A 27,499-nucleotide genomic window follows, 5' to 3' on the forward strand; every position below is an offset into this window, starting at 1 on the left:
AGCAGGAGATCAAAAGCAGCCTGAGCAATATAATGAAGACTTCCGTCTCTGCAAAAAGTTTAAAAACTAGCCAGGAGTGGTGGTGCGGGCCTGTGGGCCCAGCTACCTGGGAGGCTGAGGTGGGAGGTCAAGGGTGCAGTGAGCCGAGATCACACCACTGCATTCCAGCCTGGGCGACACAATGAGACCCTGACTCAAAAAAGAAACGAAAAAACGCATTGTGTGTTGTGTTTATTGGATGGTGGAATTATGGGGTTTACGGGTCTTCTGTTGCGTTTTGGTTTTTGTTTTCTTACCTGTTATCGCGTTCCTAACAGTAGAAATTGGCATCATATAGTATTCTCATGGAACTTTCCTTTGTTCAAAGCCCTACAGTTCAGAGACTTACACATTTAATGTGAGATATGACAGGCTTAAAAAGAAACGTTGGGGGCCGGGCGCGGTGGCTCACGCCTGTAATCCCAACACTTTGGGAGGCTGAGGCGGGAGGATCACAAGGTCAGCAGTTCGAGATCAGCCTGGCCAACATGGTGAAACCCCATCTCTACTAAAAATACAAAAATTAGCCGGGCGTGGTGGCGGGCACCTGTAATCCCAGCTACTCGGGAGGCTGAGGTAGAATAGCTTGAACACGGAGGCGGAGGTTGCAGTGAGTCGAGATCCCGCCACGGCACTCCAGCCTGGGACAGAGCGAGACTCCGTCTCGAAAAAAAATAATAAAATAAATAATAAAATAAATAAAATAAAATAAACGTTGGCTTATTTCAGTGTGAAGTAAGGCAATAAACGGAGGGCTAACAGTTCCACTTCGTAGAGCTCAGACATTTTAAGAAGCGAGGAGGCCGCGTCCTGGAAGGGTGAGCAAAAAGCGCGAGGTTTGCGCACGAAGGGAAAGGCGAGGCCCGAGGAGAGACCTGGCGCCGCGCAGAATGATGATGTCGCACGCTGGGTGGGAACTGACGTCACCTGTGCTCACCGCCGCTTCCGGTCCGCGTGAGGTGCATTCTCGCGCCGGTGGCGAGGTTAGGGCCCGCGTTGCGACGTGGTGCAGCGCATATTTTCACAAGTGGGTCTCCCTTGTCCGGGACTATGGCCACCGACTCGTGGGCCCTGGCGGTGGACGAGCAGGAAGCGGCTGTCAAGTCGGTCAGTAGCTCAGCTCCTGGCGAGGAGGACGTAGCAGGGGCCCAAGCGAAACCTCCCAAAAGCACAGGGAGCTCCCCGGGTTGGGGAGGCCCCTGGGCAACGCGCTCCTGCAGTTTGCTAGGGCAGTCACTTGCCCTTGATTTGCTCTTAGAGCTAAAGAGACCAATGTCGAGCTTTTTATCTCCATCTGGGCTGGTTAAGGACTTCATCCTTTGGTAAATCCGCCCCACTATGCATGCTGTCATTCCTCTATTGACCTCCTCGGTGACGATTATAAGGAAAGCCAAGTTTAGATTCTGATTCTCTTTTTCATTACGCGACTGTTCTTCGCATGTTTCTGTACTACTCTGTATTTAACATTTCTTAGATCCATGCTTAACGTGGTTGGTAGTTTGTAGCTCTTTGCAGAATAACAGATTGACTTTTGGATTTAATACCTCAATCTACTGCAGATGTTGGAAGGAGGCACTACAAATTGTTTCATTGATGTGTAAAGTAACGGTTTCATGTACTTGTTCTTTCAGTAATGAATATTCATTCAACTGGAATGTAATTACAGCATACACTGTGGCTTTCTGTTCTTATATCTAAGACCTAAACTTTAGGTTTGTTTAGTGATAATGGACTGTCTTTTTTTTTGTTGTAGTTGTTTCTCTTTTGAGGCAGAGTTTTGCTCTTGTTGCCCAGGCTGGAGTGCAATGGCGCCATCTCGGCTCACCGCAACCTCCGCCTCCCGGGTTCAAGCGATTCTCCTGCCTCAGTCTCCCGAGTAGCTGGGATTACAGGCATGCGCCACCACGCCCGGCTAATTTTGTATTTTTTGTAGAGACGGGGTTTCTCCATGTTGGTCAGGCTGGTCTCGAACTCCCGACCTCAAGTGATCCGCCCACCTCGGCCTCCCAAAGTGCTGGGATTACAGCCGTGAGTCACCGCGCCCAGCCGGTATGGGGATTTTTGAGAGGGCTATTGACAGAATTAGACAAGGCTGGCAAGGATTTATTGAACTACAGAGAACAGAATATGTTAGAAGTGATGGCTAATAGAAATATCAGTGTAGAAGTTATTCTGATAGCCCCGAGATAGAGGGCCTATGTTGGGCAGTGGAAGTGAAAATTAAGGGATGGGTATAAGATATGAAGGTAGAATGGGTAGGACTTGCTAACATAATAAAGGAGAGAAGGGAGATAAAGCCAAAGGTTTCTGTTTTCAACCTGGATCCTATTGGTACTACTAACGTCCCAATAACAGGAATAGGAAAGTGGGAGGAAGGGCAGATTTGATAGAATGGTGAAGGCAGCCGGGCATGATGGCACCCACCTGTGATCCCAGCACTTTGGGAGGCCGAGGCGGGCAGATCACTCGAGGTCAAGAGTTTGATACCAGCCTGGCCAACATAGTGAAACCCTGTCTCTACTAAAAATACAAAAGTTAGCCAGGCGTGGTAGTCGTCCCCTGTTAATACCAGCTACTCAGGAGGCTGAGGCATGAGAATTGCTTGAACCTGGGAGGTGGAGGTTGCAGTGAGCCAAAATTACGCCACTGCACTCCAGCCTGGGCTACTGAGTGAGACTCTGTCTCAAAAAAAAAAAAAAAAAAAAAAAGAGGTGAAGGCTGGGCACAGTGGCTCACACCTGTAATCCTAGCACTTTGGGAAACTGAGACAGGCAGATCAGTTGAACCCAGGAGTTCAAGACCAGTGTGGGCAACATGGCGAAACCCCATTTCTACAAAAATACAAAAAAAATTAGCTGGGCGGGGTGGTGGTACACTCCTGTAGTCCCAGTTACTCAGGATGCTGAGGTGGGAGGATCACCTGAGCCTAGGGAGGTTGAGGCTGCAGTGAGCTGTGATCACACCACTGCACTCCAGCATGGGTGACGGTGAGACCCTGTTTCAAAAAAAGAAAAAAGGGAATGGTGAGTTCAGGTTTGGCTGTTCTGAATTTAAAATAAGGAAACATCTTGGTAAGTACCTGTTGTGGGAGTCCCCAAGAGATGCCAGGTTTGACGATTTGTTAGGAGAACTCACAGGCTCAGTATGTAGTTGTACTCACAACTATGATTTATTATAGTGAAAAGATACAAAGCAAAATTAGTGGAGGAAAAAGGCTCATGGGCTAAGTCCAGAGGAAACCAGGCAAACTTCCAAGTTATCTCCCAATGGAGTCCACAGAGTGTGCTTCATTCTTCCGGTAGCAAATTGTAACAGCACATATGAAGTGGTGTCAGGGAAGCTTGTTAGAGACTCTACTTGAGGCTTTTATTGGGGGGCTGTCATATAGTCACCCTGTGCCTAGCATGTACCAGAATTCCAGACTTCCAGAAGGAATGCAGGTGGTTAGCATAAATTACATGCAACTGTTTTTAAAAAGAGTTGAGGCAGACTGACCCCCTCTTATCAGTTCTAGGAATGATGGGAACCTTCCCAAAGTCCAAGTTCGCAGGTGACAGCCAAGGGCCAGCCTTGCAAATAGGCTTTCCTAAGGAGAGCGGTCAGGCCTGCTGTGTTCTCTTCTGCCCGGTAGCCATCAGACATTTGGAAATACAGCACTGGAGTTCAGGAGAAGGAGCAGGTCAGAGGTATAAAACTGGCAGTTTCCACAAAGAAATTACAAAGCATTATCAAGGGCATGGTCCTTGCACTCTGGAGTTTAAAATCTAGCGTTTAGCATCAGATCTTCTCTGAAAGAGTTACTGAGAATTGGTTTCAAACCTTGTGAAATCTGTGATCCTAACCTAGCTGTGACATGAATATCACAAATATAGGCCTAAACATACTTGGTATCTGGTTCTAAGCATCCAGCTTATCAGAAGGCTGGTATAAATAAAGGCTTCCTAATAGTTGGAGAAGACCTTTTTTTTCACCATGTAGACTTGTGTACCTTCACTTAATAAATGATTCATGGTCTTAGGTTATCATGTGGTTCTGCTCTCTAGTGTAGAGATAACCAATGAAAGTGACAGAAGGCTGGGTGCAGTGACTCACACCTGTAATCCCAGTGCTTTGGGAGGCCAAGGTGGGAGGATTGCTTGAGCCCAGGAGTTCGAGTTTGAGTTCAAGTAGGCATGGTGGTCCACACCTGTGTTCCCAGCTACTAGGGAGGCTGAGGTGGGAGGATCGCTAGAACCCAGGAGGTTGAGGCCGCAGTGAGCCATGATCGTGCTGCTGTACTCCAGCCTAGGTGACAGAGTGAGACCTTGTCTCAGAAAATAAATAAATAGAAAGAACTTGAGTTGGGAGATGAGCAGAGGTTGAGGTTTTCTGAAACTTTCCCCCCAACCATTATATTTAGTCCACCCCTCCCCTTGTTTTAAGGCTGTTGAAGATATTTGAAATGATGGTTTCACACAGACTTTCAGCAACTCTACTTTGAGGGAACAAACCGACTCCCTGAATACTGGTGCTGAAAGTTTCACACTAGACTTTTACTAGAAAGTTTTTCTTTTCTTAGGGACCTTCCTTTTATTGGGTCCTTTGCTTAACTCTGTTTTCTTTTATTTCTATTCAGATGACCAATTTGCAGATCAAGGAAGAGAAAGTCAAAGCAGATACCAATGGTGAGTCACTAGTAACTACAAGCTAGAAAAGAGTTCCATGTGGGCCGCTGCTTTGCACTCATAGCTGCATTGTACAAAGAGCTGTCATTTCGTGTAAACTTCAGCTGTTTACAAGCCAGTGAATTAGATTTTGTTACTGAAGGGATATGTCGATTTTCCACATTTTATCCTTTGACTTCTTAAAATTAAGAGTCTCTCTATTGGATTGTACTGCTACTGTTCATTTGATAATATTTTGGCAAATTATTTATTTATTTATTTATTTATTTATTTATTTATTTATTTATTTTGAGACGGAGTCTCGCTCTGTCGCCCAGGCTGGAGTGCAGTGGCACAATCTTGGCTCACTGCAAGCTCTGCCTCCTGGGTTCATAACCATTCTCCTGCCTCAGCCTCCCGAGTAGCTGGGACTACAGGCGCTTGCCACCACGCGCTAGTTTTTTTTTTTTTGTATTTTTAGTAGAGATAGGGTTTCGCCGTGTTAGCCAGGATGGTCTTGATCTCCTGTCCTCGTGATCCACCCACCTCAGCCTCCCAAAGTGCTGGGATTACAGGTGTGAGCCACTGTGCCCGGCCTAAATTTTTTATTTTTTATATTAGATTTTTAAAATTTTATTTGAGACAGGGTCTCACTCTGTCGTGCAGGCTAGAGTGGAGTGGCGTGATCTTGGCTCACTGCAACCTCTGCCACCCAGGCTCAAGAGATCCTCCCACCTCAGCCTCCCAGGTAGCTGAGACTACAGGCATCCACCACCACACCTGGCTAATTTTTTATATTTTTAGTAGAGGCGGGGCTTTGTCATATTGCCCAGGCTGGTCTTGACCTCCTGAGCTCAAGCGATCTGCCTGCCTCAGCCTCCCACAGTGCTGGGATTACAGGCATGAGTCACTGCACTTGGCCTAATTTTATTATTTATTTATTTATTTTTATTTTTTTTTGAGACAGTCTCACTCTGCCACGCAGGCCGGAGTGCAGTGGTGTGATCTCGGCTTACTGCAAGCTCCGCCTCCCAGGTTCACGCCATTCTTGTGCCTCAGCCTCCCAAGTAGCTGGGACTACAGGCGCCCGCCACCATGCCCAGCTAATTTTTTTTTTGTATTTTTAGTAGAGATAGGGTTTCACCGTGTTAGCCAGGATGGTCTCGATGTCCTGACCTCGTGATCCACCCCGCTTGGCCTCCCAAAGTGCTGGGATTACAGGTGTGAGCCACCACGCCCGGCCAATTTTATTTTATTTTTTTAAATAAAATCCAGATCCTGCATGAGGTAAATTTTTTAACTTTTTGAAAAGTGAATCTGGGTTCAAAACTCAGAAAGTATAATAAAGTACAAGGATTAGGGCCCACCCTAGTGACCTCATCTTAACTACAGCTGTAGCAACCCTATTTCAAAATAAGGTCACATTCTGAGGTACTGGTTAGGACTTGAATATATGAGTTTGAGGTCAGCGGGCCACACACAATTCAGCTCATAACACCATCCTATCCCATAAGTAGCCACTGTTCATGGATTTTTAATATTCTTCCAAAGACTTTATGCAAAGCAAATATAAGTGTAGATTCTCATATTCTCTCTCTCAACCAAAACGTGGCGTGATATATACAGTATACTTACTTTTTCACTCAACAGTATCCCTTGGCAAACTTTCCATATCAATACATGCAGTTTCATCCATGTCTTTTTTTTTTTTTTTTTTTGAGGCAGAGTCTTTCTCTGTCACCCAGGCTGGAGTGCAGTGGTGCAATCTTGGCTCACTCCAACCTCCGCCTCCCGGGTTCAAGCGATTCTCCTGCCTCGGCTTCCTGAATAGCTGGGATTACAGGTGTCCGCCATCATGCCCAGCTAATTTTTGTATTTTTAGTGGAGACGGGGTTTCACCATGTTGGCCAGGTTGGTCTTGAACTCCTGACCTGATGATCTGCCCGCCTCGGCCTCCCAAAGTGCTGGGATTACAGGCGTGAGCCACTGTGCCTGGCCCTTCCTTGTGTTTTATAATTATGTGATACTGCATTGTGTCGATCTACCACGATTTTTTTTTTTTTTTTTTTTTGAGATGAAGTTTCACTCGTTGCCCAGGCTGGAGTGCAATGATGTGATCTCGGCTCACCGCAACCTCCACCTCCGGGGTTCAAGCGATTCTCCTGCTTCAGCCTTCCAAGTAGCTGGGATTATAGGCATGTGCCACCACGCCTGGCTAATTTTGTGTTTTTTTAGTAGAGATGGGGTTTCTCCATCTTGGTCAGGCTGGTCTCGAACTCCTGACCTCAGGTGATCCGCCCACCTCAGCCTCCCAAAGTGCTGGGATTACAGGCTTGAGCCACCGCATCTGGCTGATATACCATGATTTTTAAAGCAATCATAGATGTTTGGGTGGTCCCATTCTTTTGCTATTATAAATAATGCTTCATGAAATAACCATGAACTTAGCTCTTTTTACATGTATGCAAGTGTCTGTAGGATAAATTCCCCAAAAATGGATTTGCTAGGTCAAAGGTATATGCATTTGCGATTTTTTCTTTCTTTCTTTTTTTTTTTCTTTGAGATGGATTCTCTGTTGCCCAGGCTGGAGTACAGTGGGGGCTCACTGCCACCTCTGCCTGCCAGGTTCAAGCAATTCTTCTGTCTCTGCATCCCGAGTAGCTGGGATTACAGGTGCCTGCCTTGCATGCCCAGCTAATTTTTTGTATTTAGTAGAGACAGGGTTTCACCGTATTACCCAGACTGCTCTTGAACTTCTGAGCTCAGGCAATCCGCTCGCTTGGCCTCGCAAAGTGCTAGGATTACAGGCACGAGCCACCACGCCTGGCCTTTTTTTAAAATTTTTTTTAAGACGTGATCTTGTAGGTTGGACACAGTGGCTCATGCCTGTAATCCCAGCACTTTGGGAGGCCGAGGCGGGCAGATCATGAGGTCAGCCCTATCAGATTGGCAAATTCTAAAAGTTTGACTATTAATTCTGTGATGAGATTGTAGGGAAACACTCTCATTCTTGCTGATGGAAATATTAATTGGTGGCCGGGCACAGCGGCTCATGCTTGTAATTCCAGCACTTTGGGAGGCTGAGGCGGGTGGATCACCTGAGGTCGGGAGTTTGAGACCAGCCTGGCCAATATGGTGAAACCCTGTCTCTACTAAAAATACAAAAATTGCCCGGGCATGGTGGTGCATGCCTGTAGTCCCAGCTACTCGGGAGGCTGAGGCAGAGGAATCACTTGAACCTGGGGGGCAAAGGTTGCAGTGAGCCGAGATCGTGCCACTGCACTTCATCCTGGGCAACAGAGTGAGACTCTGTCTCAAAAAAAAAAAAAAAAAACACAGGCTCTTGCTCTGTCACCCAGGCTGCAGTGCAGTGGCTCAAACTCCTGGGCTCAAGCTGTTCTCCTGCCTCAGCCTCCTGAATAGCTGGGATTATAGGCTAATTTTTTAAATTTTTAGTAGAGACTAGGTCTTGCTATGTTGCCCAGGCTGACATTTGCAATTTTTGTCAGTATTTTCAAAGTCTTTTCCTTAGGTATTATACCAATTAATATTTCTGGGGTTTTTTTTTTTCTTTTTTTGAGACGGAGCTTTGCTCTTGTTGCCCAGGCTGGAGTGCAATGGCGTAATCTCAGCTCACTGCAACCTCCGCCTCCCAGGTTCAAGCGATTCTCCTGCCTCAGCCTTCCCGAATAGCTGGGATTACAGGCATGCGCCACCACACCCAGCTAATTTTGTATTTTTTAGTAGAGACAGGTTTTCTCCATGTTGGTCAGGCTGGTCTCAAACTCCCGACCTCAGGTGATCCACCCGCCTCAGCCTCCCAAAGTGCTGGAATTACAGGCATGAGCCGCTGTGCCCAGCCACCAATTAATATTTCCATCAGCAAGAATGAGAGTGTTTCCCTACAATCTCATCACAGAATTAATAGTCAAACTTTTAGAATTTGCCAATCTGATAGGTAAAAAATGGTAGACTATGTTTGCTAATAAGGCTGTATTTTAAAGTAGGGCTAGTAAGAGGTAACATATTCTGATCTGTCTGAAATTAGTCAAAATTTCTAGAAATTTAAAATTTTTCACCAGGTATAGTAGTTCATGCCAGTAATCCTAGTGCTTTGGGAGGCCAAGGCAGGAGGATTACTTGAGGCCAGGAATTTGAGAACAGGCTGGGCAACATGGCAAGACTCCATCTCTACGAAAATATTTTTGTTTTAAATTAGCTGGGAATAGTGGTGCATGCCTGTAGTGCTAGCTACTCAGGAGGTTAAGGCAGGAGGATGTGGTGGCATGCACCTGTAGTCCCAGCTAAGTGGGAGCCTGGGGTGGGAGGATCACTTCAGCTCAGGAGGTTGAGGTTGTAGTGAGCTATGATTGCACCACTGCACCTTAGCCTGGGCAACAGAGGGAGACCCTGTCTCAAAAAAAAAAAAATTTCTAGAAATAAAAATTCACTAAACATAAAGAAATGCCAACTATTTATATTTTGATTACTTAAAATAACTTTTCAGGCTGGACGCTGTGGCTCACGCCTGTAATCCCAGCACTTTGGGAGGCCAAGGTGGGCGGATCACTTGATCGAGGTCAGGAGTTCAAGACCATCCTGGCCAACGTGGTGAAACCCCGTCTCTACTAAAATTACATAAATTAGCCAGGCATGGTGGTGCGTGCCTAATCCCAGCTACTCAGGCGGCTGAGGCGGGAGAATTGCTTGAACCCAGGAGGTGGAGGTTGCAGTGAGCCAAGGTTGCGCCATTGCACTCCAGCCTTGGGCTACAAGAGGAAAACTCCGTCTGAAAAATAAAAAAATAAAATAAATTTCAGTGTATTTATTTATATTGTCCCACATTTTTGGTGGTTCTCATATTTGCCTTTCTAATTATGACAATTGTTTTCTTGTGTAGGTATTATCAAAACCAGTACCACTGCCGAGAAAACAGATGAAGAGGAGAAAGGTAACTACTTTTGGATGCCCTTGGCAAGAGACGGTATGACCCAGGGCTTGCCTTCCTGGAGCCAGGGGCACTCCAAGCTACAAGATCCAGGAGATGAGAGGAATCAGAGAAGGAATAGTCAGTGAGAGGAGGAGAACAAAACAAGTCCGAAAGCGGTAGCTCACACCTGTAATCCCAGCACTTTGGGAGGCCGAGGTGGGAGGATTCCTTTGGGCCAGGAGTTCAAGACCAGCCTGGGCAACATACTGAGACCCCATCTCTACAAAAGATTTCAAAATGAGCTGGGTGTGGTAGCACACACCTGTACTCCCAGCTACTTGGGAGGCTGAGGTGGGACGATTGCCAGAGCCCAGGAATTCTAGACTACAGTGAGCTCTGATTGCTCCACTGCACTCCAGCCTGGGTGACAGCAAGACCCCATCTCTAAAATAAATAAATAGAGACCTATCAGTGTGATGGTTTTTCTCCAGCCGTGCTTGACTGCCCAGGTGCTAGTGTGGAGAGGGAGAAAGAGTGGCTTCATAAGCCTGGGGTTTGCCAGATGAGTATGAAGATCTACTGGTTTCTTCCTGACAGAGGACAGAGCTGCCCAGTCCTTACTCAACAAGCTGATCAGAAGCAACCTTGTTGATAACACAAACCAAGTGGAAGTCCTGCAACGGGATCCAAACTCCCCTCTGTACTCGGTGAAGTCGTTTGAAGAGCTTCGGCTGTGAGTATTCGCTCCTTTCAACAGCTCTTCGTTGCCAGTCTCTCCCCACATAAAACTTAGCATCTGAGAGATTCTTGTGAGAATTTTACTTTTAAAAATTTAGTGTATTTTTTCCTTTTTTTTTTCGAGACAGAGTTTCGCTCCTGTTGCCCAGCCTGGAGTGCAATGGCGTGATCTCAGCTCACTGCAGCCTCTGCCTCCCGGGTTCAAGCGATTCTCCTGCCTCAGCCTCCCAAGTAGCTGGGATTACAGGCGCCCACCACCATGTCAAGCTAATTTTTTGTATTTTTAGTAGAGACGGGGTTTCACCATGTTGGCCAGGCTGGTCTTGAACTCCTGACCTCAGGTGATCTGCCTGCCTCGGCCTCTCAAGGTGCTGGGATTACAGGCGTGAGCCACCGTGCCTGGCTATTTTTTTTCTTTGAAAAGAAGTCACATGAATAAGTCACATGATTCAAAAGTCAAAAAGTATGAAAAAATTTGCAGTATTAATCTCCCACCCTTGTGTCCTTGGCTATCCTGTTCTCTTGGTAGGAATTTTTTAATGCTTCAAATTGATTTATCATAGCTAAAAGTCTTATTTCTCTTATACTCTTAGAACTTTCAATAAAATATTGGCTGACAGGTGATTTCTGGATGTCAGGAACATTTCTGATTAGGTAAGCCCTTAAGTGAGAACATGTGCTATTTGTTTTTTTTTTACAAAAAAAAAAAAAAAAGGCCAGGCACAGTGGCTCACACCTGTAATCCCAGCACTTTGGGAGGCCAAGGCAGGCAGATCACAAGGTCAGGAGTTCAAGACCAGCCTGACCAACATGGTGAAACCCTGTCTCCACTAAAAATACAAAACTCAAAACTTAGCCAGGTGTGATATCACAGGCCTGTAATCTCAGCTACTCAGGAGGCGGAGGCTGAGGCAGGAGATCACTTGAACCTGTGAGGCGGAGGTTGCAGTAAGCCAAGTTCGTGCCACTGCACTCCAGCCTGGGCAACAGAGCGAGACTCTCTCTCAAAAAAAAAAAAATATATATATATATATATGTATATTTAGACTATAGGGTTTACAGTCTTACAGTTTATCTGCTTTTTAAAAAATCTGTCAAATCTGTTTTTGGTTTGTTTTTTTTTTTTTTTTTTTTTTTTTTTTTTTTTTTTGAGACCAAGTCGTGCTCTGTTGCACAGGCTAGAGTGCAGTGGCGTGATCTCAGCTCACCACAACCTCCACCTCCCAGGTCCAAGCGATTCTCCTGCCTTAGCCTCCCGAGTTAGCTGGGACTACAGGCGTGTGCCACAACACCCAGCTAATTTTTGTATTTTTAGAAGAGACAGGGTTTCACTATGTTGGGCAGGCTGGTCTCGAATTCCTGATCTCATGATCTGCCCGCCTCGGCCTCCCAAAGTGCTGAGATTACAGGCATGACCCACTGTGCCCGGCCTTACGTTTTAGGTTTACTTCAGTAAATTAATAGAGGATTAAGTGTGGATCATTGTGTTATATACATGCCACTGTGCTGGATGTTACAAGGAACACAAGACCTACTTATTATTCTTGCTGCCTGCCAGGATCACAATCATAGAAAGTAGCTGATGAATAAGAATATGGTGGAATCAATGGATTCTTTGCCTTAGTTCAGCAAAATCTATAGTATGGCCACTATGGACAAATTGAAGCCACATTCCTTCCAGCTATTACCACTGAGAAAGAGACACTTAAAACAAGAAAGCTAACTAGTTGTTAAGTAATCTTGAAGAACAATTTTTTATTTTTATTTTTTATTTCTATTCATTTATTTATTTACTTTTGAGACTGTCTCACTCTGTTGCCCAGGCTGGAGCGCAGTGGCACAATCTTGGCTCACTGCAACCTCTACCTCCCGGGTTCAAGCGATTCTCGTTCCTCAGCCTCTCACGTAGCTGGGATTACAGGCCTGAGCCACCACACCTGGCTAATTTTGGTATTTTTAGTAGAGACAGCGTTTCATCATGTTGGCCAGGCTGGTCTCAAACTCCTGGCCTCAAGCGATCTGCCCGCCTCAACCTCCCAGGCTGCTGGGATTACAGGCATGAGCCACTGCACCCAGCCTTATTTTTTTATTTTTAAAAATAGAGATGTGGTGTCACTGTGTTGGCCAGGTTGCTCCTGAACTCCTGTGGTCAAAGAGTCCTCCTGCCTCAGCCTCCAAAATTGCTAGGATTACAGGTGTGAGCCACTGCACCTGGCCCAATAACTTTTTTTTTTTTTTTTTAATAGGATGAGGTTTTACCATGTTGCCCAGGCCAGACCAAAAATGTATTTTTAAACAGTTATACTTTAGGTCGGGCACGGTGGCTCACGCCTATAATCACAGCACTTTGGGAGGTCAAGGCAGGTGGATTGTCTGAGGTCAGGAGTTCGAGACCAGACTGGTCAAAATGATGAAACCCCATCTCTACTAAAAATACAAAAAAATTAGCCGGCTGTAATGGCACATGGCTTGTAGTCCCGGCTACTCAGGAGGCTGAGGTAGGAGAATTGCTTGAACCCAGGAGGCGGAGGTTGCAGTGAGCCGAGATCATGCCGTTCGTTGCACTCCAGCCTGGGAGATAAAAGCGAAACTCCTTCTCAAACGGAAATTATGCTTTTCTATGTGTTTTCTCTGTCAAGGACTTTATTCACCAAATCTGTCATCTCCACTTTTATTTTTAAGCTGTATCAGGACAGCTAGACATGTGGTATGATTTCCTTAGAGTGACAGTTTGCTCCTCCAAGTATCAACTGCCTTTTTAAATTTCTTCCCTTTAGAAGACGTGAGCTCTCAGTTTAACCACTGATGAATTGTCCTCTGTAAAAGACAGGTTCTCTCTGATTTAGTTGTTGGTAGGAAAAGGAAACAAAGAATGAAACCAAGATCACCTAATGTACTTGGTCTGCTTTGTACCTAAAATATTTGAGTTAATCTGCAAAATCAAAGAAAACTGAGTCAGTGGAAGCTGTTGGATCATTTGAGTCCCAATTAAGGTAGTGACTTTGTTTCCTTGGCAACCAAGTCAGAAGCTGCCGAGTGTCACAGCATTTTCTCCCAAATGGAAGATATGAAAGATTATGTTTTTAAATTTCTTTGTGTCTGAGAACCAACATACGCCAGAGAATTTGCCTTTTAGAGAGCCTGCTAAACTCCAAGGAAGGCTTAGAGAACAGTTGGGTTGCCTTTTCTTTAGAAACAATCTGGTATGATTTTTCTTAAACATCTTGTCAATTTAGAGGTAGCAGAGAGCTGATTGTAAATGCAATGTAAGAGCAACTTAAATTGATAATTCTTGTGTAGCTGTTTACATAAGAAGTTGGTGTCCAGGTGCGGTGGCTCACGCCTGTAATCCCAGCAGTTTGGGAGGCTAAGGTGAGTGGATCTCTTGAGCTCAGAAGTTCATGACCAGCCTGGGCAACATGGTGAAACCTTATCTCTACAAAAAATAAAAAAAAATTAGCCGGGTGTGGTGGCATGTGCCTGCAGCCCCAGCTACTCAAGGGTGGGAGGATCTCTTGAGGCCTGGGAGGTGTCGGTTGCAGTGAGCCCAGTTCACACAACTGCACTCCAGCCTGGGCGACAGAGTGAGAACGTCTCTCAGAAAGAAGTAGTTAGTGTTTGTCTGTTTATTTTGATTAGACCTAAGTGAATCTGAGCATTTGTAAAGTTTAGTAGGTTAATCGAACCACCTTTATTTACTGTATATCAGCTACTAGAAACTGGCTTCATCAATTTTCTTTTTTTATGGCCGGGCGCTACAGCTCACGCCTGTAATCCTAGCACTTTGGGAGGCCGAGGCAGGTGGATCACCTGAGATTAGGAGTTCAAGACCAGCCTGGCCAACATGGCGAAACCCTGTTTCTACTAAAAATACAAAAATTAGCCAGGTGTGGCAGTATGCGCCTGTAATCCTAGCTCCTCAGAAGGCTGAGGTAGGAGACTCGCTTGAACCCAGGAGGCAGAGGTTGCAGTGAGCCAAGATCACGCTATTGCACTCTAGCTTGAGCAACAGAGCAAGACTCCATCTCAAAAAAAAAAATTTTTTTTTTCTTTTTTCTTTCTTTCTTTCTTTTTTTTTTTTTTTTTAAGAGATGACCTGGCCTTGTTGCCCAGCCCAGAGTGCAGCGGGGCAATCATGGCTCGCTATAGTCTCTAACTCTTAGCCTCAGGCAATCCTCCTGCCTCAATCTCCCAAGTAGCTAGGACTACAGGTGCATGCCACCATGCCCAGCTCATTTTTCTTTTTTGTTTTGTTTTGTTTTGTTTTGTTTTAGAGACAGGGTCTCACTGTGTTGCCCAGGCCGGTCTTGAACGCCTGGACTCCTCAAGCAGTCGTCCCACCTAGGCCTCCCAAAGTGCTGGGATTACAGGCGTGAGCTACCACGCCCAGCCCATCAATTTCCTTACCTATTGATTGTCTGGAGTATTTGCATAGCTGGCTTTGGAAGGAACATGGAACAAAAGGACTTCTAAATCTTAGCAGTATAGTAAATAGTGTTTATTTTCATTTATTATTTACTTTAGAGTCCCACTCTGTCACCCTGGTTGGAGTGCAGTGGCTCAGTCACAGATCACTGCAGCCTTGACCTCCTGAGCTCAAGTGAGCCTCCCACCTCAGCCTCTTGAGTAACTGGGACTACAGGTGTGTCCAGCTATTTTTTGTATTTTTTTGTAGAGACGAGGTATCACCATGTTGCCCAGGCTGTTCTCGAACTTCTGGCCTCAAGCAGTTGGCCTGCCTTGACCTCCCAAAGTGCTGAGATTACAGGCATGAGTCACTGTACCTGACCTGTTTTTAGATATATCTTTTATAATTTATGTAATGCTATGAATTAATAACCACCACCCTTGCTGTGTCCAGGGAACACTTGTCTTCCAAGGCCAGCCAGATTTGCGGGTCTGCTGAAAGCATTAATTTCTCTAAGAAAAGAAACCATTCTGTATTTTATGAATTATAGAATAGTTGCAGATTAAGATTCCTTAGGGAAGGGCGGTAGCTTGGTTTGATTTGGTTTGGTTTTTGACAGTGTTTTTTTAAGGCATAGGAAAATACGTCTGACAGAGGTAGGAGGCATCATTCCTTTCTATAGAAAAAGATAAGATTCTAGGCCTCTAAAACAATTCTAACTTCTAGGCATCCATCCTCTGTCTTCCTGGCTTCCTAGGAAACCACAGCTTCTCCAGGGAGTCTATGCCATGGGCTTCAATCGACCCTCCAAGATACAAGAGAACGCATTACCCATGATGCTTGCTGAACCGTGAGTATGCAGATGAAGCGCATCTCACCCAGTGTGATTAGATCAATCTTCCCCAAACTGCGTTTTTGTGCCTGAGAACAGAAGGAGCTGTTTGGGGCCACGTGTTTCCTCAGGAATACAGCTTAGGCAAGTGCAGAGAGAATCGGATGGAGTTAGCTACAGTTTCTGCCTTTCCCACTTAACAATAGAAACTTATAGAGAAAGGTAGTGCTTTATTCCATGCTATCTTAAAAACTGGGCTTAAGGCCGGGCATGGTGGCTCACTCCTGTAATCCTAGCACTTTGGGAGGCCGAGGCGGGCGGATCACCTGAGGTCAGGAGATTGAGTCCAGCCTGGCCAACATGGCAAAACCCTGTCTCTACTAAAAATACAAAATTAGCTGGGCACGGTGGCCCAAACCTGTAATCCTAGCACTTTGGGAGGCCAAGGTGGGCGGATTGCCTGAGCTCAGTAATTCGAGACCAGCCTGGGCAACATGGTGAAACCCCGTCTTACTAAAATCAAAAAAAAAAAAATATCCAGGCCTGTTGGCATGTGCCTGTAGTCCCAGCTACTCAGGAGGCTAAGGCAGGAGAATTGCTTGAACCCGGGAGGCAGAGGTTGCAGTGAGCCGAGATGGTGCCACTGTACTCTAGCCTGGTGACAGCAAGACCCTGTCTCAAAAAAAAAAAAAAACTAAACTAAAAATACAACAATTAGCCTGGCATGGTGGCACGTACCTGTGGTCATGTAGCTGAGGCAGGAGAATTGCTTGAACCCCAGAGGCAGAGGTTGCAGTGAGCCGAGACATGCCACTGCACTCTAGCCTGGGAAACATAGACTCTGTCTCAAAAAAAAAAAAAAAAAAAAAACTGGGTTTAAAAAATATTATTTTGATGTGAATGGTGTTGCAATAAATTCAAAAACAAACAAAATATTATTTGGAAATTTTTGAGACCTACACAAAGGTGTAAAGAACAATACCAAGAACACCTCTGTAGCCCTATCCTGCCAAGAAAGGAAGCAGGTCCAGTTGATAGTTGAAGCCCCTGAATTCCCCTCCTTCCACATCCTTCTCCCACCCTGACAAGACTAAGTTCCTTTTGAGACAGGGTCTCATTCTGTTTCCCCATCTAGAGTGCAGTGGTGCAATTACAGCCCACTGCAGCCTCGACCTCCTGGGCTTAATTAATCCTCTCACCTCAGCCTCCGGAGTAGCTGGGACTATAGGCATGTGCCACCATGCCCAGCTGACTTTAAAAAAACTTTTTTGTAGTTTGAGAAGCTGAGGCAGGTGGATCACTTGAGGTCAGGAGTTTGAGACCAGCCTGGCCAACATGGTGAAACCCCGTCTCTACAAAAAATACAAAAAAATTAGCCGGGCTTGGTGGCGCACACCTGTAATCCCAGCTGCTAGGGAGGCTGAGGTGGGAGGATCGCTTGAACCCAGGAAACAGAGGTTGCAATGAGCCAAGATTACACCATTGCACTCCAGCCTGGGCGACAGAGTAAGACTCTGTCTCAAAAAAAAAAAAAAAATTTGTAGAGACAGGGTATCACTATGTTGCCAGGGCTGGTCTCAAACTCCTGGCCTCAAGTGATTCTCCAGCCTCAGCCTCCCAAAGTGTTGGGATTATAGGCATGTGTTACTGCACCTGGCATATTTATCATTTTTTCTTTTTTGAGATGGAGTCTCCTCTGTCGCCCAGGCTGGAGTGCAGTGGTGCAATCTTGGCTCATTTCAACCTCTGCCTTCCAGGTTCAAGTGATTCTCCTGCCTCAGCCTCCTGAGTAGCTAGGATTACAGGCGCACACCACCACACCTGGCTAATTTTTGTATTTTTTTGTCTGTTCGTTTGTTTTTGGGATGAAGTCTCGCTCTGTTGCCCAGGCTGGAGTGCAATGGCGCGGTCTCAGCTCACCGCAACCTTCGCCTCCCGGGTTCAAGTGATTCTCCTGGCTCAGCTTCCCGAGTAGCTGGGATTACAGGTGCCTGCCACCATGCCTGGCTAATTTTTGTATTTTTAGTAGAGATGGGGTTTTACCACGTTGGCCAGGCTGGTCTCGAACTGCTGACCTCGTGATCTGCCTGGCTCAGCCTCCCAAAGTGCTGGGATTACAGGCGTGAGCCACCGCACCCAGCCTAATTTTTGTATTTTTAATGGAGGTGGGGTTTCACCATGTTGGCCAGGCTGGTGTCGAACTCCTGACCTCAAGTGATCTGCCCACCTTAGTTTATTTATTTATTTATTTATTTATTTTTTTGTGAGATGGAGTCTCGCTCTGTCGCCCAGGCTGGAATGCAGTGGCGCAACGTCTGCTCACTGCAAGCTCCGCCTCCCAGGTTCATGCCATTCTCCTGCCTCAACCTTCCCAGTAGCTGAGACTACAGGTACCCGCCACCACGCCCGGCTAATTTTTTATATTTTTAGTAGAGACGGGGTTTCATTGTGTTAGCCAGGGTGGTCTCGATCTCCTGATCTTGTGATCCGCCTGCCTCGGCCTCCCAAAGTGCTGGGATGACAGGCGTAAGCCATATTTATCTTTTTTAATGACAACCATGCCACCTATTCCCATGATGCTGGGTCCCATAAAATGGAATGTAAAAGTTCCCTCTAAAACATCCACCTGACTTAGCATCTTGTCCATAAAACTGGGGAAAGGCACACACAGAAGGAACCAAATTCTGGGAATGCATCATGGCTCAGCCAAAAATATTGCTGGGGTCTTGTCTGGGCACAGATCTTACTCTGCACACTTGATTTCCCTGTGCCCCTTGGGGTGCAAAACTGGGGTCCTTTAGCTGTGCTAGAGGCTAGAATGAGAATTTCTTGGTGTGAGCCCATTTAAAATAATCATTTATTTTACAATTTAAGCAGCTTTTTAACAGCGTATAAAAAAATGTATGAAAGTAATTTGTGCTCAATGGAGAAAACCTGGGTAATATAGAGAAGCACGAAGGGGGAAATATGCCTTTCATTCAGAAAGAACATTTTGACATGTTACTGAGTTTCACCAATTTAAGTTTCATTTCTGTTCTTCCTTGATCCAGCCCACAGAATCTGATTGCCCAGTCTCAGTCTGGCACTGGTAAAACAGCTGCCTTTGTCTTAGCCATGCTCAGCCGAGTGGAGCCATCAGACAGATACCCCCAGGTGAGGGCTTGCGGGGCTGGGTGTCCTAGGTTGCCTGCCCTGGGGAGCGCAGTGCCATCTGGTGAGGAGTAACGAGAGGTCTGAAGCTTCTGACACCTTAGGCTGTGGCTCAGGCAGAGCAAGTTCCTACACCAGGCCCTGACCTGGGAGAATGTGCTTGAAAGCAGCAGCCTTAGACCATGGCTTGCAAAGGCCTCTGCCAAGCCAGGGCTACCTGCTGCAGGCTTCAGTCTATGGCTGAAAGGTGGGCCTGGATGGGAGGACATGCTTCCCTGTGCTATTCAAGTGCTAATAACATCAGCATACTGGGTGCCTTCAGGTCTGTTACCAAATGGCTCTCCTAAACTCATCCTTTATGATTTTTCTGTCAGTGTCTGTGCCTCTCCCCAACATATGAGCTGGCGCTTCAAACAGGAAAAGTGATTGAGCAGATGGGCAAATTTTACCCAGAACTGAAGCTTGCCTATGCCGTTCGAGGCAATAAATGTGAGTACGGCAGGCGACAACTGAACAGTGAGCAGGGTAGGGGGTTGGGCGTTTGAATTTTGAAGATGCGATGACCGTATTCAACTTTCTAATTCAGTCTGACCCTGGAGCCTAACTGTGTTGCTCTATTTGAATCTATTTGAATACCTGCTAATTTGTTAACAGTCTTTTTCAGTCTTAAAATAAGATTTTCGGTTGATTAAAAAAAAAAATCCACGCATGGCTCACAGAGTTCTTAATATCTAGAGTTCTTCGCTCAGAAGGTAGAGTTTTGAATTTAGCGTCCAGAGTTCTGGGACCTGCTACCAAAGAGGGATTAACAGGACTGAGGATGGAAGGTTGGGGTCAGCTCCCTTTCTTTAAAAGTAAGCAAAACCAGGTACAGTGGCTCACACCTGCAATCCCAGCCCTTTGGGAGGCCAGGGTGGGAGGACTGCTTGAGCACATGGTTCGAGACCAGCCTGGGCAACATAGTAAGACAAAAAATAAAAAAAAAAAAATAGCCAAGCGTGGAAGTGCCAGCTTGTAGTCCCAGCTACTTGGGAGGCTGAGGCAGGAGGATCGCTTGAACCTGTGTGGTCAAAGCTGCAGTGAGCCATGACTGTGTCACCGCACTCTAGTCTGGGCAACAGAGTGAGACCCTGTCTCAAAATAAATAAATAAATAAACATAAAAAGAGTTGGATGATGTTGGATTATAGGAGGAAGAAGAAGGGAACTGATGCTTATTGAAGGATTGCTGTGTGGGATTTGATCCTGACCACAGTGCACTGAGATAGGTGTCATTCTGCCCACTTCACAGCAGAAGAGACCAAGACTGAGGGGAACACTCATGTGTGTTTTGAAATCTGGAAATAACTTGTTCTCCTAGTCCTAGAAGGATGGGCAGGGCTTTGATTTCCAGAGCTGGCTTTGCCTTTGAAATACCTATGAAAATCACCTGGGTCTCCACAGTGGAAAGAGGCCAGAAGATCAGTGAGCAGATTGTCATTGGCACCCCTGGGACCGTGCTGGACTGGTGCTCCAAGCTCAAGTTCATTGATCCCAAGAAAATCAAGGTGTTTGTTCTGGATGAGGCTGATGTCATGATAGCCACTCAGGGCCACCAAGATCAGAGCATCCGCATCCAGAGGTAGGGATCTCGAGGGTGGGGGACTCCTCAGACTCCCCATCTGCAGTGTCTTCTCCCTTCACTTCAGACGCCTCCTCTGGCTTCTGCCTGGGTCTTGGCTCTCGTACTCTCAGCAGCATTTGTTTGACGGGCCATTTCCATGTCAGCGCTGATCACAGTCCCTCCCAACCTGGGTTGAGAAAGGAGACCTAGGGACTCTTCCCCAACCCTTGTCCCCATCCCAGGCCTGCTGCTCCTCCTCCCCAAGATGCTCCTCCCCCATCAGCCTTCCTGGGCATCTAGACCCTCCCAGCTGGGGAGGCTGTGCTTCCGTTGCTTCCCAGGGCCACCTGGGGCCATCTACCCGGGCCTTCCCTTGCAGGATGCTGCCCAGGAACTGCCAGATGCTGCTTTTCTCCGCCACCTTTGAAGACTCTGTGTGGAAGTTTGCCCAGAAAGTGGTCCCAGACCCAAATGTTATCAAACTGAAGCGTGAGGAAGAGACCCTGGATACCATCAAGCAGTACTATGTCCTGTGCAGCAGCAGAGACGAGAAGTTCCAGGCCTTGTGTAACCTCTACGGGGCCATCACCATTGCTCAAGCCATGATCTTCTGCCATGTGAGTAGCAGCGGCAGTGGCAGGCCTGGCCCCTCCCTCTCAGCCAGCTCCCCACAGGGCTCAGGAGGACTGGATGCCCCTGAGCGCCATGGAAAGAAGGGAAGTGCTTTTTGAAGATGTAAGAGACAGGCTCTCCTTTAGTGGGGGTAATGGTAGTATCCCAAGGGATACATAGCCTAAAGATAGAGCCCCTGAACTTTATGTCTTATTTGTGGATGATGTATTGTTGCACAACCCAAGAGAATCAACTCATATTTGTAAGAAAAATAAAAAATTCAACAAGATGGCCGGGTACGGTGGCTCATGCCTGTAATCCCAGCATTTTGGGAGGCCGAGATGGGTGGATCACGAGGTCAGGAGATCGAGACCATCCTGACTAACACGGTGAAACCCCATCTCTACTAAAAGTACAAAAAATTAGCGCGGCGTGGTGGCGGGCGCTTGTAATCCCAGCTACTCGGGAGGCTGAGGCAGGAGAATGGTGTGAACCCGGGAGGCAGAGCTTGCAGTGAGCCGAGATCACACCACGGCACTCCAGCCTGGCAACAGAGAGAGACTCCGTCTCAAAAAAAAAAAAAGTTCAACAAGATAGTCATAACATTCACACACATAGTTTTCCAGTCTCAAACAACAAATACTTAGAAAATGGAAGCATAGATCTCATTGATAATAGAAAAAATAAATATTTAAGATCTCTGAAGAAAATGTCAAAATGATTTTAGAATAAAAGAGACACCGGAGCACGGTGGCTCATGCCTGTAATCCCAGCACTTTGGCAGGCCGAGACAGGCGGATCACCTGAGGTCGGGAGTTGGAGACCAGCCTGACCAACATGGAGAAACCTCGTCTCTACTAAAAATACAAAATTAACTGGGTGTGGTGGTGCATGCCTGTAATCCCAGCTACTCGGGAGGCTGAGGCAACAGAATCACTTGAAGCTGGGAGGCGGAGATTGCAGTGAGCTGAGATCGTGCCCCTGCACTCCAGCCTGGGTGAGAGAGCGAGACTCCGTCTCAAAAAAAAAAAAAAAGAGGCCAGGCTTAGTGGCTCACGCCTGTAATCCCAACACCTTTGGAGGCCAAGGTAGAAGGATTGCTTCAGCCCAGGAGTTTGAGACCAGCCTGGGCAACGTCGGGAGACCCCATTTCTAAAACACTTAAAAAAAATTAGCTGGATGTGGTGGCACACACCTGTAGTCTCAGCTACTCGGAAGACTGAGGTGGGAGGATCCCTTGAGCCCAGGAGTTAGAGGCTGCAGTCAGCTGTGATCACGCCACTGCACTTAGCATGGGTCATAAAGCAACACTCTGTCTCAAAACAAGGAAACATACAATGCAATGATACAGTGATAACAGTAATATATCTCTCAAATATAATCCACGTTCTCCTATCTCCACTTGTGCCAAAAGTATTCTTTTTTTTTTTGAGACCGAGTCTATCTAGCTCTGTCACCCAGGCTGGAGTGCAATGGTGTGATCTAGGCTCACTGCAACCTCCGCCTCCTGGGTTCAAGCAATTCTCCTGCCCCAGCCTCCAGAGTAGCTGGGATTACCAGCGCCCGCCATCATGCCCAGCTAATTTTTGTATTTTTGGTACAGGGGGTTTCACCATGTTGCCCAGGCTTGTCTTGAACTGCTGACCACAGGTGATCCAACTGCCATGGCCTCCCAAAGTACTGGGATTACAGGCATGAGCCACTGCGCCTGACGCCAAAAAATACTCTTTTTTTTTTTTTTTAGACGGTCTCACTATCTTGCCCAGGCTGGACTCAAACTCCTGGGCTCAAGCAATTCTCCTACCTCAACCTCCCAAGTAGGTGGGACTCCAGGCACATGGCACTGTGCCCAGCTCATCTTTATTGCTTTTTGTTTTGTTAAATCCAAGAGCCAGTCAAGTTTTGCTTGTTGCATTTAGTTGTCATGTCTCTTAAGACTCCTAAATCTAGAAGAATTTCCTCACCTTTATTTTATTGCCTCTCATTACAATGACATCTTGAAGCATCCAGGGTAGTCTTTTCTTTTTGAGATGTAGTTTTGCTTTTGTTGCCCAGGCTGGAGTGCAGTGGTGCAATCTCGGTTCACCACAACCTCTGCCTCCCGGGTTCTAGCAATTCTCCTGCCTCAGCCTTCCCGGGTAGCTGGGATTACAGGCATGTGCCACCACACCTGGCTAATTTTGTATTTTTAGTAGAGACAGGGTTTCTCCATATTAGTCAGGCTAGTCTCAAACTTCTGACCTCAGGTGATCCGCCCGCCTCGGCCTCCCAAAGTGCTGGGATTACAGGCGTGAACCACCGTGCCCGGCCAATCTGGTTTTTTTTTTTTTTTTTTTTTTTTTGAAACGGAATCTCGCCTCTTGCCCAGGCTGGAGTGCAATGGCATGATCTTGGCTCACTGCAGCCTCTGCCTCCCGGGTTCAAGCGATTCTCCTCCCTCGGCTTCCTGAGTAGCTGAGATTACATGCACATGCCACCACGCCCAGCTAATTTTTGTATTTTTAGCAGAGACGGGGTTTCACCATGTTGGTCAGGCTTGTGTTGAACTCCTGACCTCGCGATCGGCCCACCTCGGCCTCCCGAAGTGCTGGGATTACAGGCATGAGCCACCGCGCCTGGCCCCCAGGGTAGTCTTTTACTCCTAGGCTCAAGTGATCCTTCACTTGATCTCCCAAATTGCTGTGGTTATAGGCGTGAGCCACCGTATCTTGCCCCAGGTTAAATATTTTTGTGGTATAAATTTTCTTTTTTTTTTCTTTTCTTCTTTTTTTTTTTTTTTGGAGACAAGGTCTTGCTCCGTCACCCAGGCTGGAGTGCAATGGTGCAATCTTGGCTCACCAGCCTCGACCTCTCAGGTTTAAGCGATTCTCCTGCCTCAGCTCCCTCAAGTAGCTGGGACTTACAGGCCTACACCACCATGCCTAGCTAAATTTTTTGTAGAGACAGGTTTGGCCATGTTCCCCAGGCTGGTCTCGAACTCCTGAGTTCAAGCGATCCACGTGCCTCGTCCTCCCAAAGTGCTAGGAGTACAGGTGTGAGCCACCATGCCCAGCCAGGTACAAATATTTTCGTAAGATTACAAGCCAGGTGACATTGTTACTTCCTGTTGCACTATATCGGGTTTACAATTTTAAGAAATTTAGCTTTTAGCTGCTAAGTTTCAGGTACAGTCTTCCAGATCAAAAATATCTTCAGCTGAGCGTGGTGCCTCACACCTGTACTCCCAGCCCTTTGGGAAGCCAAGGCAGGATAATGACTTGAGCCCAGGACTTTTTAGATCACCCTGAGTGACAGCAAGACTGTGTCTCAAAAAGAAAAAATATATACTCAAATACTTTCATTTCTCAATTGTTTTTTTTCTTCCAGACTCGCAAAACAGCTAGTTGGCTGGCAGCAGAGCTCTCAAAAGAAGGCCACCAGGTGGCTCTGCTGAGTGGGGAGATGATGGTGGAGCAGAGGGCTGCGGTGATTGAGCGCTTCCGAGAGGGCAAAGAGAAGGTTTTGGTGACCACCAACGTGTGTGCCCGCGGTGAGCAGAGGACGTGTCCCACCTGGTCTGCCAGGCTCGGGGTCCCAGGCCCAATTAGAGCCAGAAATCCTTGTATACAGGGAAGTCGGATGGTCTCAGGGAGATGGGTGGGGTTGGTGACACTATTCCTTTCTAGGAGAGACTGTTTGGATTTCCCTGAGGTGGTAAGAACTCACACATGCCAGGTGCGGTGGCTCATGCCTGCAATCCCAAGGCAGGAAAATTGCTTGAACCCTGGAGACAGAGGTTGCAGTGAGCCGAGAATGTGCTATAGCACTCCATCCTGGGTGACAGAGTGAGACTCTGTCTCCAAAAAAAAAAAGGAAGAGGGCAGGCCCAGTGGCTCACGCCTGTAATCCCAGCACTTTGGGAGGCCGAGGTGGGCGAATCACCTGAGGTCAGGAATTCGAGACCAGCCTGACCAATATGGTGAAACCCCATCTCTACTAAAAATACAAAAATTAGCCGGGCGTGGTGGCATGCGCCTGTAATCCCAGCTACTCAGGAGGCTGAGACAGGAGAATCGCTTGAACCCGGGAGGTGGAGGTTACGGTGAGTGAGATCGCGCCATTGCACTCCAGCCTGGGCAACAAGAGCGAAACTCCGTCTCAAAAATAAAAAAAGAAAGAAAGAAAAGGAACTCCCGCAGAAACCAGTAGTCCTGACTTGGTGGAAGGAAATGTACAGGCATCTGACTGGTAGAGAACGGAGCCTACTCTTCCAGGGGCGCCCATCTCCAGAACATTGTGTCTCCCAGAGGATTACCGACTGATCTCATGATTTTGTTGGCACTTGCCAAAGTTCTCTTCTTTTCCTCTGGGTTCTGTTGCCTGCCTATATGTGTGCCCTCTCTTGTACCCAGAGTTGGCCTGTCCCAAATTCTTTCCCTCTATCCCAAAGTTGGTACGCATTGACCTACCTATGGATGACAGTGATTTCTGTCTCCTGTCCTTAGTCCTCTCAGCCTCCAACTCTCCTTCCTGCAGGCATTGATGTTGAACAAGTGTCTGTCGTCATCAACTTTGATCTTCCCGTGGACAAGGACGGGAATCCTGACAATGAGACCTACCTGCACCGGATCGGGCGCACGGGCCGCTTTGGCAAGAGGGGCCTGGCAGTGAACATGGTGGACAGCAAGCACAGCATGAACATCCTGAACAGAATCCAGGAGCATTTTAGTGAGTCCCGGGGAGGGTCCTGTGCCTGGCGCCCTTTGCTAAGTAGGGCGGGGTGGTGAAAGGGGTAGGATCTTCTGTAGCCCCAAGAGAGGCTCTGTCCCTAGCACACTCCCCTCCTTTCTGACCATATGGCAGTTCTCAGGGAGCACACCTGGAGACTTCAGGACCCAGGGACTCCAAGGACAGCTCCCCTGTGACTGGGCTTCGGGGCGTGGGGCTCTGACTGTTGCTGTCAGTGACTAGGGGCCCTGCTGCCCCCTGCTTAGGCACCCGGAGCCTTTGGGCCTGAATGAATGATTGCTGTGGCCTGAGGTGGGGCACATTCCTGGGCAGGGTAGAGACTTGTGTATCTTTCCCCCAGATAAGAAGATAGAAAGATTGGACACAGATGATTTGGACGAGATTGAGAAAATAGCCAACTGAGAAGCTCCACCAGCCACTGATGCCAGCCCTGGCACTGCCCCTGCACAGGAGACAAGTGCATTTAGGGCACAGGCCCCGACATCACCCCAAGGACAACGGCAGAAGTAGAGAGAAACTACCTACCTCACTTCAAATTATGTTTGGACTTGACAAAAATAGGTGCAAATGATGGGGGGCAATAGAAGAAAAAATTTGCATTTTGGAAAATTGGGTCCTTTCCCCACTTTTTTAAAGCCACATTCCCCCATCTTTATAATAATCTGGTCACAGTGGTAGTCGCTGGCCCCAGGACCCCCTCCTGATTTTGGCTAGGCATCGTGGAACCAGCTCCAGCCCCTGAAGAAACGATAGATGTGCAGGTTGTGCGGAAGAGGCTGAGTGGAAAATGGTGTGAGCCCCACCGCTGTGCATCGAATGAGGGAAGTGGCAGCAGAGAGGCCAGAGCTGCCCCCTCTCTGTCTCTTCAATGGACCCTTCACAAGTGTTTCTCCTGCCCTTGGGGCTGTCTTCCTTCTCCTGAAATCCAGAGACTTTCTTGCTCATCCCTTCTCCCTTTCACTTCTGTTCTCTGCTGCAGAAAGCAGACTTGCATATCCCTGATGAGCAGCTCGGCTACTTTTGTAAACTTCAGATTTGGAGAGAAACACGAAAGTCTGAATCCTGACCCCTTGAGAGAGAGTGATCTGGCGAGGGCCGATGAAGGGGCTGGGCCTGGTCTTGCCTTCTCTTCTCTCGGTTGCTCCCTCTGCCTAGGCCCCTGGTACTCAGTCACGGCAGCCAGGAGACCCCAGGTGAGTTTCTGAGCGCATACGTAGTTGGTTCTTACCCCCAGGTGTCACACGGGGCCGAGAGCTGAGCAAGAATTTGGAATGGAAGTTATGACCAAGGGAATTATGCTGTTCATTTATAATAGTGGACATTATGGAGAGCTCTGATTCCTACATAATATGAATAAGGATGGATAGGCCGGGCGTGGTGGCTCATGCCTATAATCCCAGCACGTTGGGAGGCTGAGGCGGGCGGATCGGTTGAGCTCAGGCGTTCGGGACCAGCCTGGCCAACATGATGAAACCCCGTCTCTACCAAAAATAGAAAAAAATATAGCCGGGCCTGGTGGCGCACGCCTGTAGTCCCAGCTACTCGGGAGGCTGAGGTAGGAGGATCGCTTGAGCCTGGGTAGAGGCTGCTGTGAGCTGAAATGGCGCCACTGCACTCCAGCCTGGGTAACAGAGCGAGACCCCGACTCAATAAATAAATAAGGATGGATAAATTGTAGCGTATGCACCATTCATTATGCTAAGACATTTTAAAGTAATTATGAGAAACGCTCTACTAATGATTTGTTTTTATTTGTATTTTTCTGCTTATTAGACAAATATATACTCATTTTAAAAAGGCGTGTGTGTATATAAAGT

At 47.2% G+C, this 27,499-nt stretch overlaps 1 protein-coding gene and 1 long non-coding RNA gene across 7 annotated transcripts in view, besides 4 other annotated features; one reads left to right on the plus strand and one right to left on the minus strand.

Moving 5' to 3' along the window:
• Positions 1-619: an enhancer, noted in NCBI's record as "H3K27ac hESC enhancer chr16:70379806-70380424 (GRCh37/hg19 assembly coordinates)". NCBI's record gives its function as "activates a minimal SCP1, AML or CMV promoter by ChIP-STARR-seq in primed H9 embryonic stem cells {active_cell/tissue: H9 hESC(primed)}" and the evidence as "EXISTENCE:reporter gene assay evidence [ECO:0000049][PMID:30033119]".
• The window catches only part of DDX19A-DT (DDX19A divergent transcript), a 31,108-nt gene extending 30,263 nt beyond the window's left edge, over positions 1-845 (minus strand). The window contains exon 1 of the long non-coding RNA NR_039997.1: positions 297-845. This is a non-coding gene — a long non-coding RNA (DDX19A divergent transcript). The remainder of the gene's footprint in view (positions 1-296) is intronic.
• Positions 620-1,237: an enhancer, noted in NCBI's record as "H3K27ac hESC enhancer chr16:70380425-70381042 (GRCh37/hg19 assembly coordinates)". NCBI's record gives its function as "activates a minimal SCP1, AML or CMV promoter by ChIP-STARR-seq in primed H9 embryonic stem cells {active_cell/tissue: H9 hESC(primed)}" and the evidence as "EXISTENCE:reporter gene assay evidence [ECO:0000049][PMID:30033119]".
• Positions 620-1,245: a biological region, named in NCBI's record as "H3K27ac hESC enhancer GRCh37_chr16:70380425-70381042".
• Positions 756-1,245: an enhancer, noted in NCBI's record as "active region_11053". NCBI's record gives its function as "activates an Ori minimal core promoter by ATAC-STARR-seq in GM12878 lymphoblastoid cells {active_cell/tissue: GM12878}" and the evidence as "EXISTENCE:reporter gene assay evidence [ECO:0000049][PMID:35858748]".
• DDX19A (DEAD-box helicase 19A) lies at positions 1,001-27,481 on the plus strand. Of its 6 annotated transcripts, NM_001320525.2 has the most exons (13): positions 1,001-1,146; positions 4,655-4,703; positions 9,583-9,633; positions 10,210-10,345; positions 10,944-11,004; positions 15,516-15,608; positions 18,641-18,743; positions 19,115-19,229; positions 20,183-20,360; positions 20,722-20,959; positions 24,321-24,483; positions 25,470-25,661; positions 26,023-27,481. In NM_001320525.2, the coding sequence occupies exons 5-13, from the start codon at positions 10,982-10,984 to the stop codon at positions 26,082-26,084; spliced, it is 1,167 nt and encodes a 388-aa protein (NP_001307454.1). In that variant the 5' UTR covers positions 1,001-1,146; positions 4,655-4,703; positions 9,583-9,633; positions 10,210-10,345; positions 10,944-10,981; the 3' UTR covers positions 26,085-27,481. The 6 variants fall into 6 exon arrangements, 5 of the variants coding, with proteins under 5 accessions (NP_001307454.1, NP_001307455.1, NP_060802.1 ...); NM_001320526.2 differs by lacking the exon at positions 10,944-11,004 and having other exon boundaries at positions 15,516-15,734; NM_018332.5 differs by lacking the exon at positions 10,944-11,004.
• Positions 27,482-27,499: the final 18 nt, after the last annotated feature.

This window comes from Homo sapiens, chromosome 16 (assembly GCF_000001405.40).
Source record: "Homo sapiens chromosome 16, GRCh38.p14 Primary Assembly".
Taxonomy (NCBI): domain Eukaryota; kingdom Metazoa; phylum Chordata; class Mammalia; order Primates; family Hominidae; genus Homo; species Homo sapiens.

What these genes read in the sequence shown, in the direction of transcription:
- DDX19A (NM_018332.5), top strand. Translation starts at nt 1,090, where the DNA reads ATGGCCACCGACTCGTGGGCCCTGGCGGTGGACGAGCAGGAAGCGGCT. An exon ending in TGCCGTTCGAGGCAATAAAT is followed by an intron (nt 19,230 to 20,182) that starts GTGAGTACGGCA and finishes GGGTCTCCACAG; the next exon opens with TGGAAAGAGGCCAGAAGATC. An exon ending in CAGAATCCAGGAGCATTTTA is followed by an intron (nt 25,662 to 26,022) that starts GTGAGTCCCGGG and finishes TCTTTCCCCCAG; the next exon opens with ATAAGAAGATAGAAAGATTG.